We start from the raw sequence: 15,177 nt of genomic DNA, 5'->3' as shown, positions 1-15,177 counted from the left end.
ACTCCCATACCCACCTCCTCCTTTCATGAAGCCTTAAATACATCATTTAATCAGCTCCACAATTTTCAATTTCACACAGTTGTCAGCTCAAATGTCTGACGAGGTGGTGAAGACCCCACAGATTGTGGGCAGAGGTCACAGGGCCACCAGGCTTCCCTGCTTCCTCAGACCAGACCATCTCTCAGCCCCGGCCCCCTCCCGCACCACCCACCCTTCTGCAGCCAGCCGAGGAGGGATTTCGGAGGGTTCTGCTTTTCCCGTGGCAACTGTCAATCAGTCATGTAGATGTTTCTCTTGTCATCGGTGTGAAATTGCCAGAGTGGCCTCATTATCTGCTTACTCCAAATTTGGAGGCAATATTTCTGTTTGAAGGATAATAATCTCCATTTAAAACAAAAATAACATCTTCTCAGGTAGAGGAGAAGAAGAGGAAAGGAAAGAAGACAGTTTGGAACAACCCAAGAAAAACATGAATTATCTGGGCTTTTTGATCCATACACACACACACACACACACACACACACACACACACACACACGCAAAGTCTTTACTGCCCTAACCTAACACAGAGCCCACATTTCCTGAAAACTGTTTAAATTTTTTCCAGCTGGGGTGGGAGTGGGCTGAGAGGAAGAGGAAGGTCCATGTGACTTTAACAGATCTATCCTTTCTTAGATTCCTGTCCCCTTAATCATAACTGAACATTACTAAAGCCATTGCTACTATAACAAAAAAAGTAATCAGATCAAATGGACAGGAAGGAGTGGTGAAGGCTTAGGTTCTTATGCAGATTCAATTAGCAGCACTTCCCCAAGGCTGGGTGTGGGGGTGTGTGTAGGAACCCCATTAATGGTGGGGAATGCTGTCTGTTCTCGCCAGGGGCATTGCAAAGCCAGCTGACCTCCCGCTCTGTCCACCCCTGTCATCTTATCACCGCAGAGTCAGACTCCAGCTTTATTTATTTTTCTCAAATGGATGCAGAAATGGCTGGGGGAGGCACTTCCCAATAATTGAGCGCTGGCTTTGTCGGGAAAAGCCACACTCAGGGCTCCAAGTGTCCTCCAAGCTGCCATGTGTGGGTAGAATCTGGCTGAGCTGACTGTGTGTTGGGGGTGGGGGGTGGCAGGGGGAAGCATTGAAATCAATCCTGGTTTTGTCAATTGTGCGACCTTAAATAAACCTGAGCCTCTCAGAGCCTAGATCTCCTCATCTGCAAAACAGGGGCAGTAAGAAAACCTACCCCACCCTCATGGGGGCCGTAGTAAGGGTAAAATGTGACGAAGCTTCTGACCCCCTTTATGCCCCTCCCACCGTGTCCTGATTATATAATGATTGTGGCTCTGGTCATTTACTGACCACACAGAGACCTGTGCCCATCTTACTGCGGCATGAGCTTGCTTCCAGCTCTTCCTGTCTCTGAGCCTCAGTTTTCCCATCAGCAAAATGGGGCTGTTCTTACCTCCTGGCAGGGTGCTGGCGACTCCTGAATCAAATGTGCATAGCGCCTCTCACTCCTGACTCCTCACCTCCATCCCCTTCTCCGACTTTTGCCTACAAGCATTGAAGCCTTTCCTTGGGATAGCCTGTGCTGATTTAGCTTCCCCACTAGCTTTCCTGCTAAAAATAAAGCCGGCCTCACATCTGCAAGCTGCAGTGTGGTCTCTGAAAACAGTGTTATTGAAACTTGAATGTCTGGTCCTGGTGCCCGGCATAATGCTAGGCACATAGTGGGAGACCCAATGAATGAATGGATAGATGGGTGGATGGATGGATGGATGGATGGATGAGTGGATGAAAGTTACTGGGCAGGCTGAGTGTGTAATGCTTGCTGTGTGAATGAATGAATGAATGAATGAGAACTCTGCTATCTGCAAGCCAGTGTTTCCTCTCGTTTTCTGCAGGCCCCAGCCCTGCCTTCCCTACTACGGCATTCTGAAGTTCCAGAACACAGGAGCCAACAAGAAACTGGGAATAAAGGGGTTTGATCTGCACAGCACAAACACGTCTTGCAAAAAGAGGAATATAAAAAAAATGCCAATTCCTTCTATGGGGGAAAAGAAGGCGTCGAGACATGTTAAACGGTTAGGAAGAAGGTTGCTGCTTGTTTTCCGTCTTCCTTGTGCAGGCTGAAGGCGGGGTGAGGGGAGAGGTTCATTATTTTTCGGCGCTCTGAAGGCAGGTGAACAGGGAAAAGCAAACTGCAGCCTGCCATCGCGTTCAGCGCCTTTGAAACACATAGAGCTCTCAAGGCAAGGGAAGGGTTTGATGCAATTTAAAAAAGACAGACTCCCACACCTCTCAGATCCATATGTTTCCATTCAAGATCTCGTTTCCCTCCGAGGCTGGTGCTACTGCGGGCTTTGCAGTCGGGCCCGGCTGTTCTGCTGACGCTCTGAGGACCCGTGGCTCATGGAGGAGGCAGACGGGCTGAGCAACTGCACGGTGGGCTCGAGGTGCCGACGGCAGGCTCTGGGCTGAGCTGCAGCGGCAAAGTGGTGCCCGGCGCCATGTGGTGCCCTGAGCCTGTGTGAGATCAGGTGGTTGCTGTCTGGGGGAAGGTAAGAAGGTGAAAAATAAAAGCAAGCAAATCAATAAAATAGTGTATGTATATAGACCAGAGCTAAGGGCTATGACTGTGTGTCCTTCTCTCTGCGATGGGGTCAGAGTGCTGAGTAGTTTTGTTTTCTTTCCCAAAGTGTTATAAACAGGTGTATCTTTGACAAAGAAGGTTTTGTGGTCAACTGAGTTTGGGAAATACCAGGTTCATCTAATCTCTCTCCTTCCCTTTGTTCCTCCCTTCCTCCCTCCTTTCCTTTCACCCATCCACTGTCCATTTATCCATCCATTCATCCTTCCATCTTGTTTTTTTCATTTCCTTTATTGCCTTTTTCTTTCTCCCTCTTTTCCTTTCTTCCTTTCTCCTTCCTTTCCACTCTTCCCTTCTTTCCCACTTTTATCCTTCCTCCTTCCCTCTCTCCTATCCATCCAACCATTATCCATCCATCCATCCATCCATCCATCCATCCATCCATCCATCCATCCATGGTAAGGCAGTTGAGATCCTGCCTTTGCAGACTTCAGAGTGAGTGGATAGAGACAGAAAATAAGAAAAAAGTAGAGACATTAGCGTTTCAATTGGTAAGTGCTATGAAGGAAACAAGAGTAACAAAAAGAGAGTGATTGGGTAATGGGTGATGAGTACAGACAGAGGGAAGAACTGGCAGGGTGGGGAAAGATTTTAGGCAGAAGGAACAGCAAGGGCAAGAACCCTGAGATGGGAATGAGATGGATTTGTTCAAAAAATAGAAGGTGTCCAGGGCAGCCACAGAGTCAGGGACACGTGGGATAACCAGAGCTATATGGGGCACTATGGGAAGCTACTAGATGCTTTAAGCCAAGGAATAGCATGATCTGATCCAGCCTTTATAGCTGCCCCAGCAGGACTCCAGTGCCCCGCATTGAGTCAAAGCTAAACCATAATCATTGTAATAAATTGGACTGCTTCCATCTGCCAGGGCTAAGCTAAGCCACGGGCAGACCTAGCTCTCATCACCAGAGTCAGATTTTCTCCTCCAGACATGGCTTGAGGTCTCCTTATTCAACCCTGATCAACAATGGTGGGAGTTTTTTCTGACTCATCTGGAAGCAAACTCATATTCAACAGCATGATGTTCAATTACTAAATTGGAAAAAAGTAAAATAAATAGGCAAGTTATTTCTTGTCCTTGCAAAGGTGCATAAATGAAAGAATAAGTCCAATTGGTAGACAGATGCTTAGGGTGTCCTGCAGTCTTTGCGTGGGAGACACATGATTTATTTTTGGGGGCACAATGAAAGCCACACAGAAACATGCTCCCAAGCAACGTCAGGGAGAAACGCAGGAAAAGGACTTTGAAGCAACTCTTCCTCTGTATACATTCAAACTCACTGAAAACTTGGTCATGCTGGAAATCATGATGATTTAAACTCTTATTTGCCACAATAATAATAAAACCAAGATGTATTGAGCTGCCTACTATGTGGTAGACCCTCGGCCAAGAGTTTCACTCTGGCAATCTTATTACATTGCTCCTTTTATTTTCCTGAATTCAAACCTGAGAAACTGAGGCTCAGCAAGGTTTGGAAACCTGTTACAGAACACACAGATCTCAATAGCCAACTCTGGATTCAAACCCAGCCTGTCCAGATTCCAAGCTCACCTCCCTCCTCCTGACAAGGCCCCATTTTTGACACCTTCAAAGACTTGTCTCTATAAATATGTGTACAGTTGTTGAGAACATCTGGCAGCCCATCACAAAACAAAATCTCTCTTGTTGGAGTTGTTGTTTTCGTAAATATCAGTTACTGACCCACTAGAATCTGCAGGATCTGGTGTGATTTTAGCTGTGTTCGGTCTCTGCTTGTCACCCGGGAAGTTTACGCGAGATTTGATCAGAATTTCACAAAACCAGGCTGAGCCTGTGTGGAGCTGTCAGATGAAATAATTTGTCAGTGATGATTGTGTGAATTCGTAAATATTTATGAATTCACAAGTTATAAATGTGCAGCTTTCGGGAGGGTGGAATTTGATGCTCACCAAGTCACAGATTACAATGAATATTTACAGAAACCCCAATCTGCTAATATTAGTTCTTTGTGCTTACAAAAAAGCTTTCCTTGGGATTGTAACCCTTTCAGGCTAAAAGTATCTGCAGGAAAAGAAGTATAACTAAAGAAATAAGCTCCCCCCAATAAAAAAATAATGCATTCATGATCCATTACATTTGTATAACGTTTATGATTCTCACAGTATTCACATATGCGTTATGCCTCTTGCCAGTCATTCTAAAGCTGTTTGTTGAATCGGTTTTGAACTGAATTGGATTGAAAAAGCTCAAGACAGCAGGTGGTCAAAAAGACCAAATTTTTTTTTACTTCTTGTTGAGTGACCTGCCTGTCCGGAGACCTCATGCAAGTCTCTGCGTCCCTCAGAATCTATTTCTACAAAAGACAGTGTTTCCCAAAGTTCCTCATGGACATACTACCCTCATAACACTTCCCATTAAACACAGTTGCCAGGAAGGCTCGGAGCCTGAGGCCTGCTTTCTCTTTGTTAAAAAATATTAGTAAGCATTGGAAAAGTGTTAAAGGCAGACTAACACCAAGTTGAGACTTTCTTCTTGATGAAATCAGAAGAAAATGAAAGAGAAGTTTAAGGGGAATGAGTTTCTCTTCACGAGAGGCCAAGTGGCATAGTGAGGTGGTTAGAAGCAGAGACCCTGGGCCCAGTTTGCAGCTCACTAGCTTTGTGAGCTTGACCAAGGATTTAAGTCTCTATGTCTCAGTTAATACATCCGTGAAATGGGGATAATAGTAGTACCTGTTTTAAAGGGTCACTCTGATCAGGATGACATGAGCTAAGTCTAGAAAGCACCGAGAGCTGGCAGATGACAAATGTTCTGTGTTTGTTAAATACATGAATAAGGACCAAATGCACCCCAAGTTTCAAGCCATTATGAGGATTCAAAGAGAACCAGTGAGGTGTGAGCCCTAGGTGCCTAATCTCACTCACTGAATGGGTGGCCCTAGCCAGTCTCTTAGCTCATCTGTACGTTCAGAGGGAAGGGTGGGGCTACATGGCCTCAGAGAGCCCTTGTCTCACAGAGTCCACTCAGCAGCCTGGGGCCAGGAACTAGAGGTGACGCTCATCCATTCATAGTCCACAGCAGGACTATTTTTAGGCAACTGCCTGAAACGGGACTCACAGTGGGACACCAGCTTGCATCCCACTCTCTCCTGGTTTTCTAACACCCCCATTCCATTTGTCAACCCCAGTCCAATCTTCTGCCCTCAGGAGGGCCACAATTGGACACTAAAGGCTCTCCCATGCCCTGTAATGAAACCATCCTCCAAGAGAGCTGTGGTTTTGTAAAGGGAGACACCCACTGTCAGAGGTATTTTCCAACCTGGAATTTTCCTACATTGCAGATTTGGTGTGGTTCTGCTTCTTCTGAACGCTGTAGGACCTCAGTTTTCCCATCCACAAAATGGGAGCAAAAGATTATTATCTACATCTAACATTGTTATCCTATATCTAAAACTAAGGCTGGTCTGTCTTCCACAGGCACTAGTACAAATGAACAGCCACCTTCTCCTGCGTGTTCAGCCTGTGCAAACAACGGGCACTTCCAGCACCCCGTTGATGCAGGACTCCATGGGGCCCCCTTGGCTCAGAGCTGGGCACATCCACAGAAGCTCTACCAAAAGGCACCCATTAGGGAGAAAAGAGACATTACCGTTCTAAGCTAAAATCCTCTTCCATGTGCAGAGAGTGGGGAGTTGAGGGGGAAATGGGAACAGGCTTAAATTAATAATCTTCTACCTACTAAAACGAAAAGAATGATTGTAATTTCTTAAATTGTCTCTGAAACACTAAATAAACCTATTTTTCTTAGAGTTCGACATGTCTTCATTTCGTAGGTATTATTGCCCTCATTGTGCAGATGGAGAAACTGAGGCTGAGTCCTGTAGCTGATAGGAAGAGGTAAACCCACACAGATCTTCAGGACTCTAGTGGCAGAAGCTTTCCCATGGTGGGCATTCCACATGGACGCTTCCCCACCTCACCTTCTAATGATAAAAGCAAATACGTATTAGGCAAGGCAATTTTCCAATCAGTTTACATGTACTGTCTTATTCTATCTTCATGACTGGTAGGAGGTAAGCACTTTTATCACCATCAGCTGACACACATGACAGTTGAGGTTCAGAGAGATTAAGTAAGAGGCCCAGGGACACACAGCTAGAAAGTAGAGAAGGCAAGATTCTACCTTAGCAGGCTGATGCTTGTCCCCAGATCCCCAAGACAACAGTACCAATGAATGTACCTGGGTTTGTGAGTCCTTAAGGGTTGGGGTCATACTGCAATCACACCCACTTCCAACACCCAGCCTGGCACAGAGCATGACTTCACAAATATTTGTCAAATGAATTTTTTAAAAATGCACCAGTCTTTCTGATCCTTAAAAATATCAACTTATAAACAGATATGTCAAGGAGCAATTATTCACATTACTCAAGATGTCTTCATTTTATAAAAAGGATTTACATCACTATTTCTTTAAATAGCAAGTCCCCCTAGTGCATTTAAAAATACGATTCAATTTATAGCTCGGAATTACACACACGCTTTCGGAAGCCCTTGCTTGAATAAAGGGAGCTGGCACGAGCGTCATTCATTCATCTGGCTTTTCAGCAGGCAATTACTGAGCACCTACTAGGTACCATATACTCTGTAAGGAGCCGGGGATTCAGAAGTAAACATCATGGCTTCAGACTTCAAGGAACACCCAGTCTGGTATGATAAGGAGATAATTAACAGATGAGTTTCCCAACCTGGAAATGAATTAATGCTTTAAGAAAATAAAGAAAGGAGCCCACTGCCTTAAATCTGGGCATGCTCGATAAGGGAGACGTTCCTGAAGAAGGGCAATGTGAGCTGGGCCTTGTGAGATGAGTAGCAGTTCACCAGTTGGAAACTGTCCTAGTATTAAAAAATTTTCCCCAGATTAGAACATTAAATGTACCTGTATATATTTAATATTCATCAGCTTTCATAAGCAATACTGTTTCTAGCCAAGTGTGGTTATGTTTCATACTCATGTCATTCTTGGAACTTTCGCAAATATTTTCACACAATCTCTCTCAGTTGATTCTCAAAACAATATTGGGAGGTGAGAGTGGTGTGGAGCTTTCCTTTTGTGTTATTTTATTAGAAAAGTAATGCATGTACACTACTAAAAATACAGGCAAGGAAGATATCAATGTTATCTGAAATTCCTGCCCCATCACAGCCAAGGTAAATAGTTTAACCTGTATCCTTCAAGGTCTTTCTTTCAGTGAATGTGTATTGTTTGTTTCCAAGAGAAAAACATTGTTTGTGGTTTCATGATTTGCAACAAGCTCTTTGAAAACTATGACACAACACAGGGAGAATATTTATCCATGTCATTCAGTATTTTTCAACAGCAATTCACAATAGCAAAATCGTGGAACCAACCCAAATGCCCATCAATCAACAAGTGGATAAAGAAACTCTGGTATATATATAGACGATGGAGTACTACTTAGCCATAAAAAGGAATGAATTAACAGCATTTGCAATGACCTGGATGAGAATAGAGACTATTATTCTAAGTGAAGTAACTCAGGAATGGAAAACCAAAAAATCATATGTTCTTACTGATATGTGGGAGCTAAGCTGTGAGGATGCAGAGGCATAAGAATGATGCAATGGACTTTGGGGACTTGGGGTGAAGAGTAGGAAGGGGTGAGGGATAGAAGACAACAAATATGGTGCAGTGCATACTGCTCAGTTGATGAGTGCATCAGGTTCTCACAAATCTCCACTAAAGAACTTACTCATGTAATCAAATACCACCTGTACCCCAATAACTTACAGAAAAATAAAATTTAAAAAAAGAGAAAACAGGGGCCCTCAAAAAATATTTTTCTACAGCAAATTTTTAAATGATTTTGTTCTTTCCATATATGTACACATGTATACAGAAGTATATATTATATATTATTATATAATATACATTTATATATAATTTTTTTACATAGATATATAAATCAACCCACTAGTGATGGCTGACTAGGTTGTTTCCAATTGCTTTCTCTTAATGTAAATAATGCTGCATTGAACATCTTTATAGCTACATATTTGCTGTATATTTCCATGTTAATTTTCTCCTACTATCCCCCCTCCCAACCAAGTAATAACCACTAGGTCAAAACACAGGCATAGTGTAAGGCTGTGAGGTCAGGATGCATGCTCTCCATGTCAAAAGAGAAATAACAACCAGTCTAGGACCTAAGCAAGGCCTCCCGTCTGTCAACCCCAAAACTCCTCCCTTTCATAAGACCCACTAGATCTCTTCATCATCAGAGAAAAACCAAGCCCCACAACCCTTAGAATCCTATAGGAGGGAATAGGATTGGGCAGGGAATGAAGGAGACATGAATTGATGCTGGGTGATTTTTTTTTCTTCCGTTCTGACCCTGTTTATGGGCCTGGAGAGACAAACACAGACAGCTTTCCAAATTGAGGCAAGCCCATGCAATATCTCACTCCTCTACCTCCCTGCCTGGAGGTCTCCTGGCAATTTAGAGCTTCCCTTGTAGGTTACAAAGTCTGGTCAGCTTAGGCAATCAGACAGAGCAGTGCTCATCGGGACTTCTGTTGATGGCTGTGCTGGGAGGAGGGACAGCTGGCAGGCAGATGATTCTGTCCCACACTCAGCCTGAGACCTTGAAGTGGGCATAGGGTTATGATCTTATGATCCTGGGCCCCTAGACCTCAATTTTCCCATTTGTGGAACAAGGAGTATAGACCCGGGCTGTTATTTCATCTGTAGGGGGTCTGAGGGTGCAGCATTCCAGGTAGGAGTCCAGGCCCAGCTGGGAGATCTTGGGAAGGTAGCTTAGCCTCTCTGAACCTCCTTCAAGTCAACAGAGATCTAAAGGCCACTGTGTTGTGTGCTGGACACTGCTTCCGATGCTGGGGTCGTAGAAGTGAACACAATATACCAGTTGCTGCTCCCCAGGAGCCCCCGTCTCAGACAGACCATAAACAGTCAGCCACTAAACAAATGACCATGCGAGGTAATTTCCACTGCAATAGGTGCTGGGAAGAACAGGAACCCAGTGAGGTGACGGAAAAGGATTGGGGCTGCAGGCAGCTTGGGATTAAAGACACGCTTTAGATGTGGGTCTCTCTGAGATAAAACCATAATAAAGGATAAGGGGCCAGAAGTGAAAGAAAGGCCAGGATTTACCAGGGTGGCTTCACATTGTCATCAGTCAGGCAGTCTGATGTCATTGGTCTGGGGTGGGACCTGGGCATCACCAGTATTTTAGAAAGCCCCCCAGAAGGTTCCAATGTGCACACGGGTGGTTTTGGGGATCACGCTTTAGGCTGGGGAGTGGCAGACGCAACGCTCCGAGGTGAGTTTATCCTGTTCCTGGAACAGGGTACTGGGAGTGCAGCAGGTTGGCCAAGGGGATGGGGACACAGTGTGAAGCTGGTGTCCACGGAGGCCGGATGCATGGAGCACGGACGCGGGAGGAGAGAGAGGAGTTTCCATTTTCAGGCGGCCCATGAGACAAGAGAGCCTCGGTTGTCTTGCTAGTAAAACAGGCTCCAAAGTGTCCCAAGTATGCCCCAGAAGAAGCGCACAGAGGGAGCTGCTGCTAGCCTGCAAGTCAGAGGTGGGGGTAATGGGAGGGGCTAAGTCACACTGCAAGATGGCCTTTTGCTTAGGGCCTGAGTGTCAAGTAACTGAAAAACAACAGGCACCAGTTGACAGTTGGTCCAAGCTAGCCCTGATCTGGTATGTCTTCATACGCATCTCATATAAGACATGACCCTCCAGATGTTCCCTTAGGAGAGGGATTCCAAAAATACTGCTGCCCTCCCACTGTTCAAAGCACAGGGCATGGCCGTGCACTGAAGGCTGACAAGTCCTGCAGTCAGAAACCTCGTGGGATCTGTTTAGACTTACAAGAAAGCAAGGCCGGCTGGCTCCACCAACCCACGCAGGAGGCAGCAGAAATGTCACCACTGCTGAGGGGCATTCCAAGCTCTTCCCTAAAATGGTCCTCCCCAACTCCCACTGGCCACACCCTATTCCAACACCTGGGTTCTTCCTTCATAGTGATTGTCTAAGTTCACTTCATGAATTTGTCTTGCTTGTGTATTTGCTTACTGTTTCATACCTCCTGCCTGCAGTGGCAACTGGTATAGGCTAGGTGCTCAGTTAATCTCAGTTTCATTGAACAAATAAATGAATGTAGTTACAGGTAGGACAGGCACAGGATTCAAATAGATGGCATGCAAATCCTAAACTATACTACATGCTAGCTTTGTGACCTTGGGCCACTTAAACCCGATGAGCCTCATCTGTGAAAAAGGATGAAGTAATTGGACTTACCTTGTTGGTAGCATTGTGAAACTTTACAGGCTCCAAACACGGAAAGGATCTAGTGCTCGGCATGGGGAAGGGTCATATACCACGGGTGACTCCATTCTGTGGTTAAAATTAATGCTATGTAACTGTTGGAATCCTGGATTTGGGCATTCATTGTGTAGGGGCTAAAGGAATCTTTATTCATTTTAGTCCTTCTGACCTTTCCCTCCATGTCAGGCTTTTAGAAACTTCTAAGTTTGTTTCTGGAGGAACATTGGCACATTTTGAGAAAACATGCTTGCAATAATTAATTGCAGTAGGAGGAGTCCCATAGGTTTGGAGGGTAAAGGCGGAGAGATGTCACTAGAGAGATGCTGACAACAGGAATTAAGGAGAGCTGTTATTCAGGAGGAAAACCAACTGTTGCGTTGAAGTTTTGTGCTGTGAACTTTTCCAGCTTCAGACAGAGCCTCTGGTCCTCTGTGTGTGTGTGTGTGTGTGTGTGTGTGTGTGTGTGTGTGTATTCAGCACCATGTTTAAGCATGTGTGTGTTTGTGGGTGTGCACGCATTTGCGCACACACGTATTTACCAAAGTTGCTTTCCGCAAAAATTAAAGACAAAAGTTTTGTTTCTTTCTAAACTTTGGCAATTTCAGCATCTGCCTATTTAGGTAAATTAGACAAGGATTATCTCTTTTATCTTCCCTCTTCTTTGTTTTTTTTTCCCCTCCAAACCCAGAAATTCCATGAGAAATATTTTTAAGAGTGTTAACTGACAAATGTACACATGCCGTCCGCAGCCAGAGAGCAAGCAGCACAGTCGCTAACTTGTTAGACAGGAGCTAGATTACAATCATAAATAAATGATTTGCTGTCTCCTCGCATTCAGACTTGTAGCTTTTAAAGTGTGCCTGTCATCGCAGAATCAGATTTAGTCAAATGCTGTGTAACTGCAAAATTATCCTATCCTTACCTTTTTATTCTCCTTATAATGGACAGTTAAATTGGATTTTCAAATTTGAAGTGCATATGTTTTTCAAATCCCCAGAGGCTGTCTATTTTTTCATTTCTAAAGCAACTCACTAATGTTTATCATTACCACACAGAAATATTACAATTCTTAAGGGGCGCCTTACAAAATCAGTGCAGGAGAAATGTGCTTTATCGTCTCAAAATGAAACCAATTTCTCAGCTGATTTGCAATTTATTTACATGTTAGCATTTGATTTCCGGCTGATTTATAACCCCACACAGCTCTGTCTCAGGGTTTATTTAGAAAGCAGACAACAGTGGTCGGGGAAGGCTGTGGAGCGCAGCGTGGCATGGGATGTCTGTTTCCCCAGGCTGGAGGCCACAGTGCCACTCCCAAGTCTCCTGGTTGAGTTTCACCTTCAGCGAATCCAGTGCCCCATTGTGTGTGAATATGCAGGATGCTAGGCCCAGCCACTGCGTGGAGATCAGATGCTGAAGGACAGCTTTTCAGAAGGAATATTTTTGCTCCTCTGCAGTGAACGGGGATTGTGGTAGGGGAAGTGGAAAAGACGCCTGGGATATACTGGGCTTTCATTCTTTGGCTCATTCACATAACTCTAATGGCTAATGTGACATCTGAATTCAGGAAGTATTGGAATTGACAGTGAGGACTTTATTGGGGTTTATTGCTTCATCTGTCTGACCATTTATTCATTGATCCACTCTTCCAGACATCTCTCTAGCCATTCCTCCATTTATCCGTCCATGTGCCCATTCATTTTCCCATCTACCTACCAATCTATCCACTTATCCATCATCCATTCATCCATTCATCTACTGACCCACTTATCCATCCATCCATTTGCCCATCCACTTATCCACCTGTCAATCCATCCACATACCCATCATTCATCTATCCATCTGTCCATTTTCCCATTCACTTACCCATCCACCAACCTATCCACTTATTCATCATTCATTCGCCTATCCATATATCCATTCATCCATTCACCCACTGACCAGTTCATCCACCCATCCATCCAACCATCCACCCACCCACCCACCTATCCACCCATCTGACTACAAATCCATCCAACCATCCATTCCACACTTATCAATATAGGCCTTTGCACTGAGTACTAGGGAATTAGAGATGACCAAGAAACTGCTCACAAAACTCTTGGATAAGAGGAGGAGACAAACATACACCTGCCAGGATCATTGTGAAGCTCAAATTACTTAATGCATATAAAAAGTGCTTCACAAACTATAAATCTCTTAAAAATATAACATATATGTAAATGCCGTAATGAGTTTAGAGCAGCCTGCTTCCTTCTATCTAGCTGTGGAACCACAGGTAAACAACTTCCTCTTCCGAAGCCTTGGTTTCCTCATCTATAAAATGGGAAGGGAGGTAATAATTAATAATAATAATTAATAATAATACTAATACCCCTGGCAGGGGCCTTGGCAGAATCTGATGAGATAACCCATATAGAGCACTTAGCCTAGTGTCAGGCCATAGTTAGCACCTGATACACTTTCTTCTTCTTACTATTCTGATTGTTGCATGAATAATAGGGACAAAGGAGGAAGAGAAATTCTGTCAAACTGAAAAGATGAGGAAAGATGTTACCAAAGAAACAATATCTGAGCTGGGTTTATAGAAGAGGGAAGCTTTCCTCAGGTACCAGAAGGGAAGAGCATGGCCAGCAGAGAGAGCAGCTTGCACAGAAGTCTGAAGGTGCAACTGAGGATTCAACAAAAGGTGAGGGAGATGTGGCAGGAGCATGGGACCCATGGGCACAAGGAGAGAAGGTACGTGTGTTGAAGTAGATCTCAAAGGCCTTGCATTTTAGGATATTGAACTTGGGTTTTCTTTTCCCCCCCCTGGGGATGACAGGAAGCCAATGGAAGGCCTTCATCAAGGACATGGCCCCATCCAATTGGCACCTCAGGGGGCTCCATCCTGCAGACAACAAAGGTGGAGGCAGGGAGCCTGGACGGGAGCTGGAGAAACAGCTCCTTGGAGAGCAAAGGAGGCAGGAGACAGTGCGCTGGTGCAGGGCTGGTGAGAAGGGGCAGATTTGAGAGATGAGTTTTTAAGCAGAATCAGCCAGGATGTGGGGACCAATTGGAGAGAAGAAGGGGGGATAATGAAGGTTTCACCGAGATCTCCAGGAGAACCCTATCAGAGGCAAAATCCCTGAGACGGAGATGAATTTTCCTCCTCACTTTGCCTCTATCTGCCCATGCCATGCAGCGCTTCTCTGAATACATTTGCATATATTTATGCTGCAGGCAGCCAGCGCTAAAAGGAGCATCTCCCTCTCTCTCTTTTTCTCTCTCTGAATGTGAGCTCACATCCAGCACGATTCCCCTTCTGCGCAGAGTCAGGAGCCAGGAACTTCCAGGGACTTCCTGAGTGAACTTGGACCCTTTTTTCACCTCTTCGGGTCTTAGGATAAATTCATGTTTCTGGGGTCTCTAACTCTAGGACACCAGGAGGAGAGTGAACTGAGAGAAGGCCTAGTCCTCTGATTCATAAGTGGACAATTTACGTTTTAAGTAACAGGAAACCTGATTCAAATTACCTTAAAAATGAACCGTCTGGGTTCAGGTAAGAAAACTTCAGAGGTTCCAGCTGTCAGGTGAGTCTGGGACCAGCAGCTCCATGATCTCACTCATTAAAGACACCATTACTTTTTTATCTTTTACGTGTCTCCTGTCTTCATTCTAAGTCTGCTTCCCTTTATGGCTGCCACTGGCTCTTTGCACAGCAAATGACCAAGATTTCATGTTCCCACTCAGCAGGGAAGAAAGGGTGTGTCTTAATCTGGGTACTGCCCCCAAACCCTGAGATCCACTCTGATTGGACGGTTCGGTTTCCATCAACAACCATGAACCAATCCCTGTGGTCTGGGGATGGGTTATGCTGATAGGCTCCTCCTGGGTCACATGCTTCTCCCCTTAATGACGGAAACCCATGCATTCTCACACAGAAACCACGGTTTTCTACTTTCTTCCTGCCCAAGGAGAGAGAAGATAGCCTCAAAAACAGACGTAGTCTCTGGAAAATTGCCTGATTCTCTACATAAAGTGCATGGGAAACTCAAGCCATGAGTAGTGTTTGACTCAGGAACTTTGAGTGTGCAAGGGCAAGCCTCAAGGCCAGCTGCCTATGAAGAAATAAAGATAGCCTCCTCCCAGTGGTCTAGGTCTTGTGGTGTCCACTTGATGGACCAGCCAAGACTGC

General features: G+C 44.8%; 1 annotated feature.

The window, feature by feature from the left end:
- Positions 1,826 to 2,388: an enhancer, noted in NCBI's record as "H3K4me1 hESC enhancer chr22:27692319-27692881 (GRCh37/hg19 assembly coordinates)". NCBI's record gives its function as "activates a minimal SCP1, AML or CMV promoter by ChIP-STARR-seq in primed H9 embryonic stem cells {active_cell/tissue: H9 hESC(primed)}" and the evidence as "EXISTENCE:reporter gene assay evidence [ECO:0000049][PMID:30033119]".

This window comes from Homo sapiens, chromosome 22 (assembly GCF_000001405.40).
Source record: "Homo sapiens chromosome 22, GRCh38.p14 Primary Assembly".
In the NCBI taxonomy this organism is placed as follows: Eukaryota; Metazoa; Chordata; class Mammalia; order Primates; family Hominidae; genus Homo; species Homo sapiens.
Note: the sequence above shows the minus strand (reverse complement) of the source record. Positions and strands in the feature narration are given on the sequence as shown.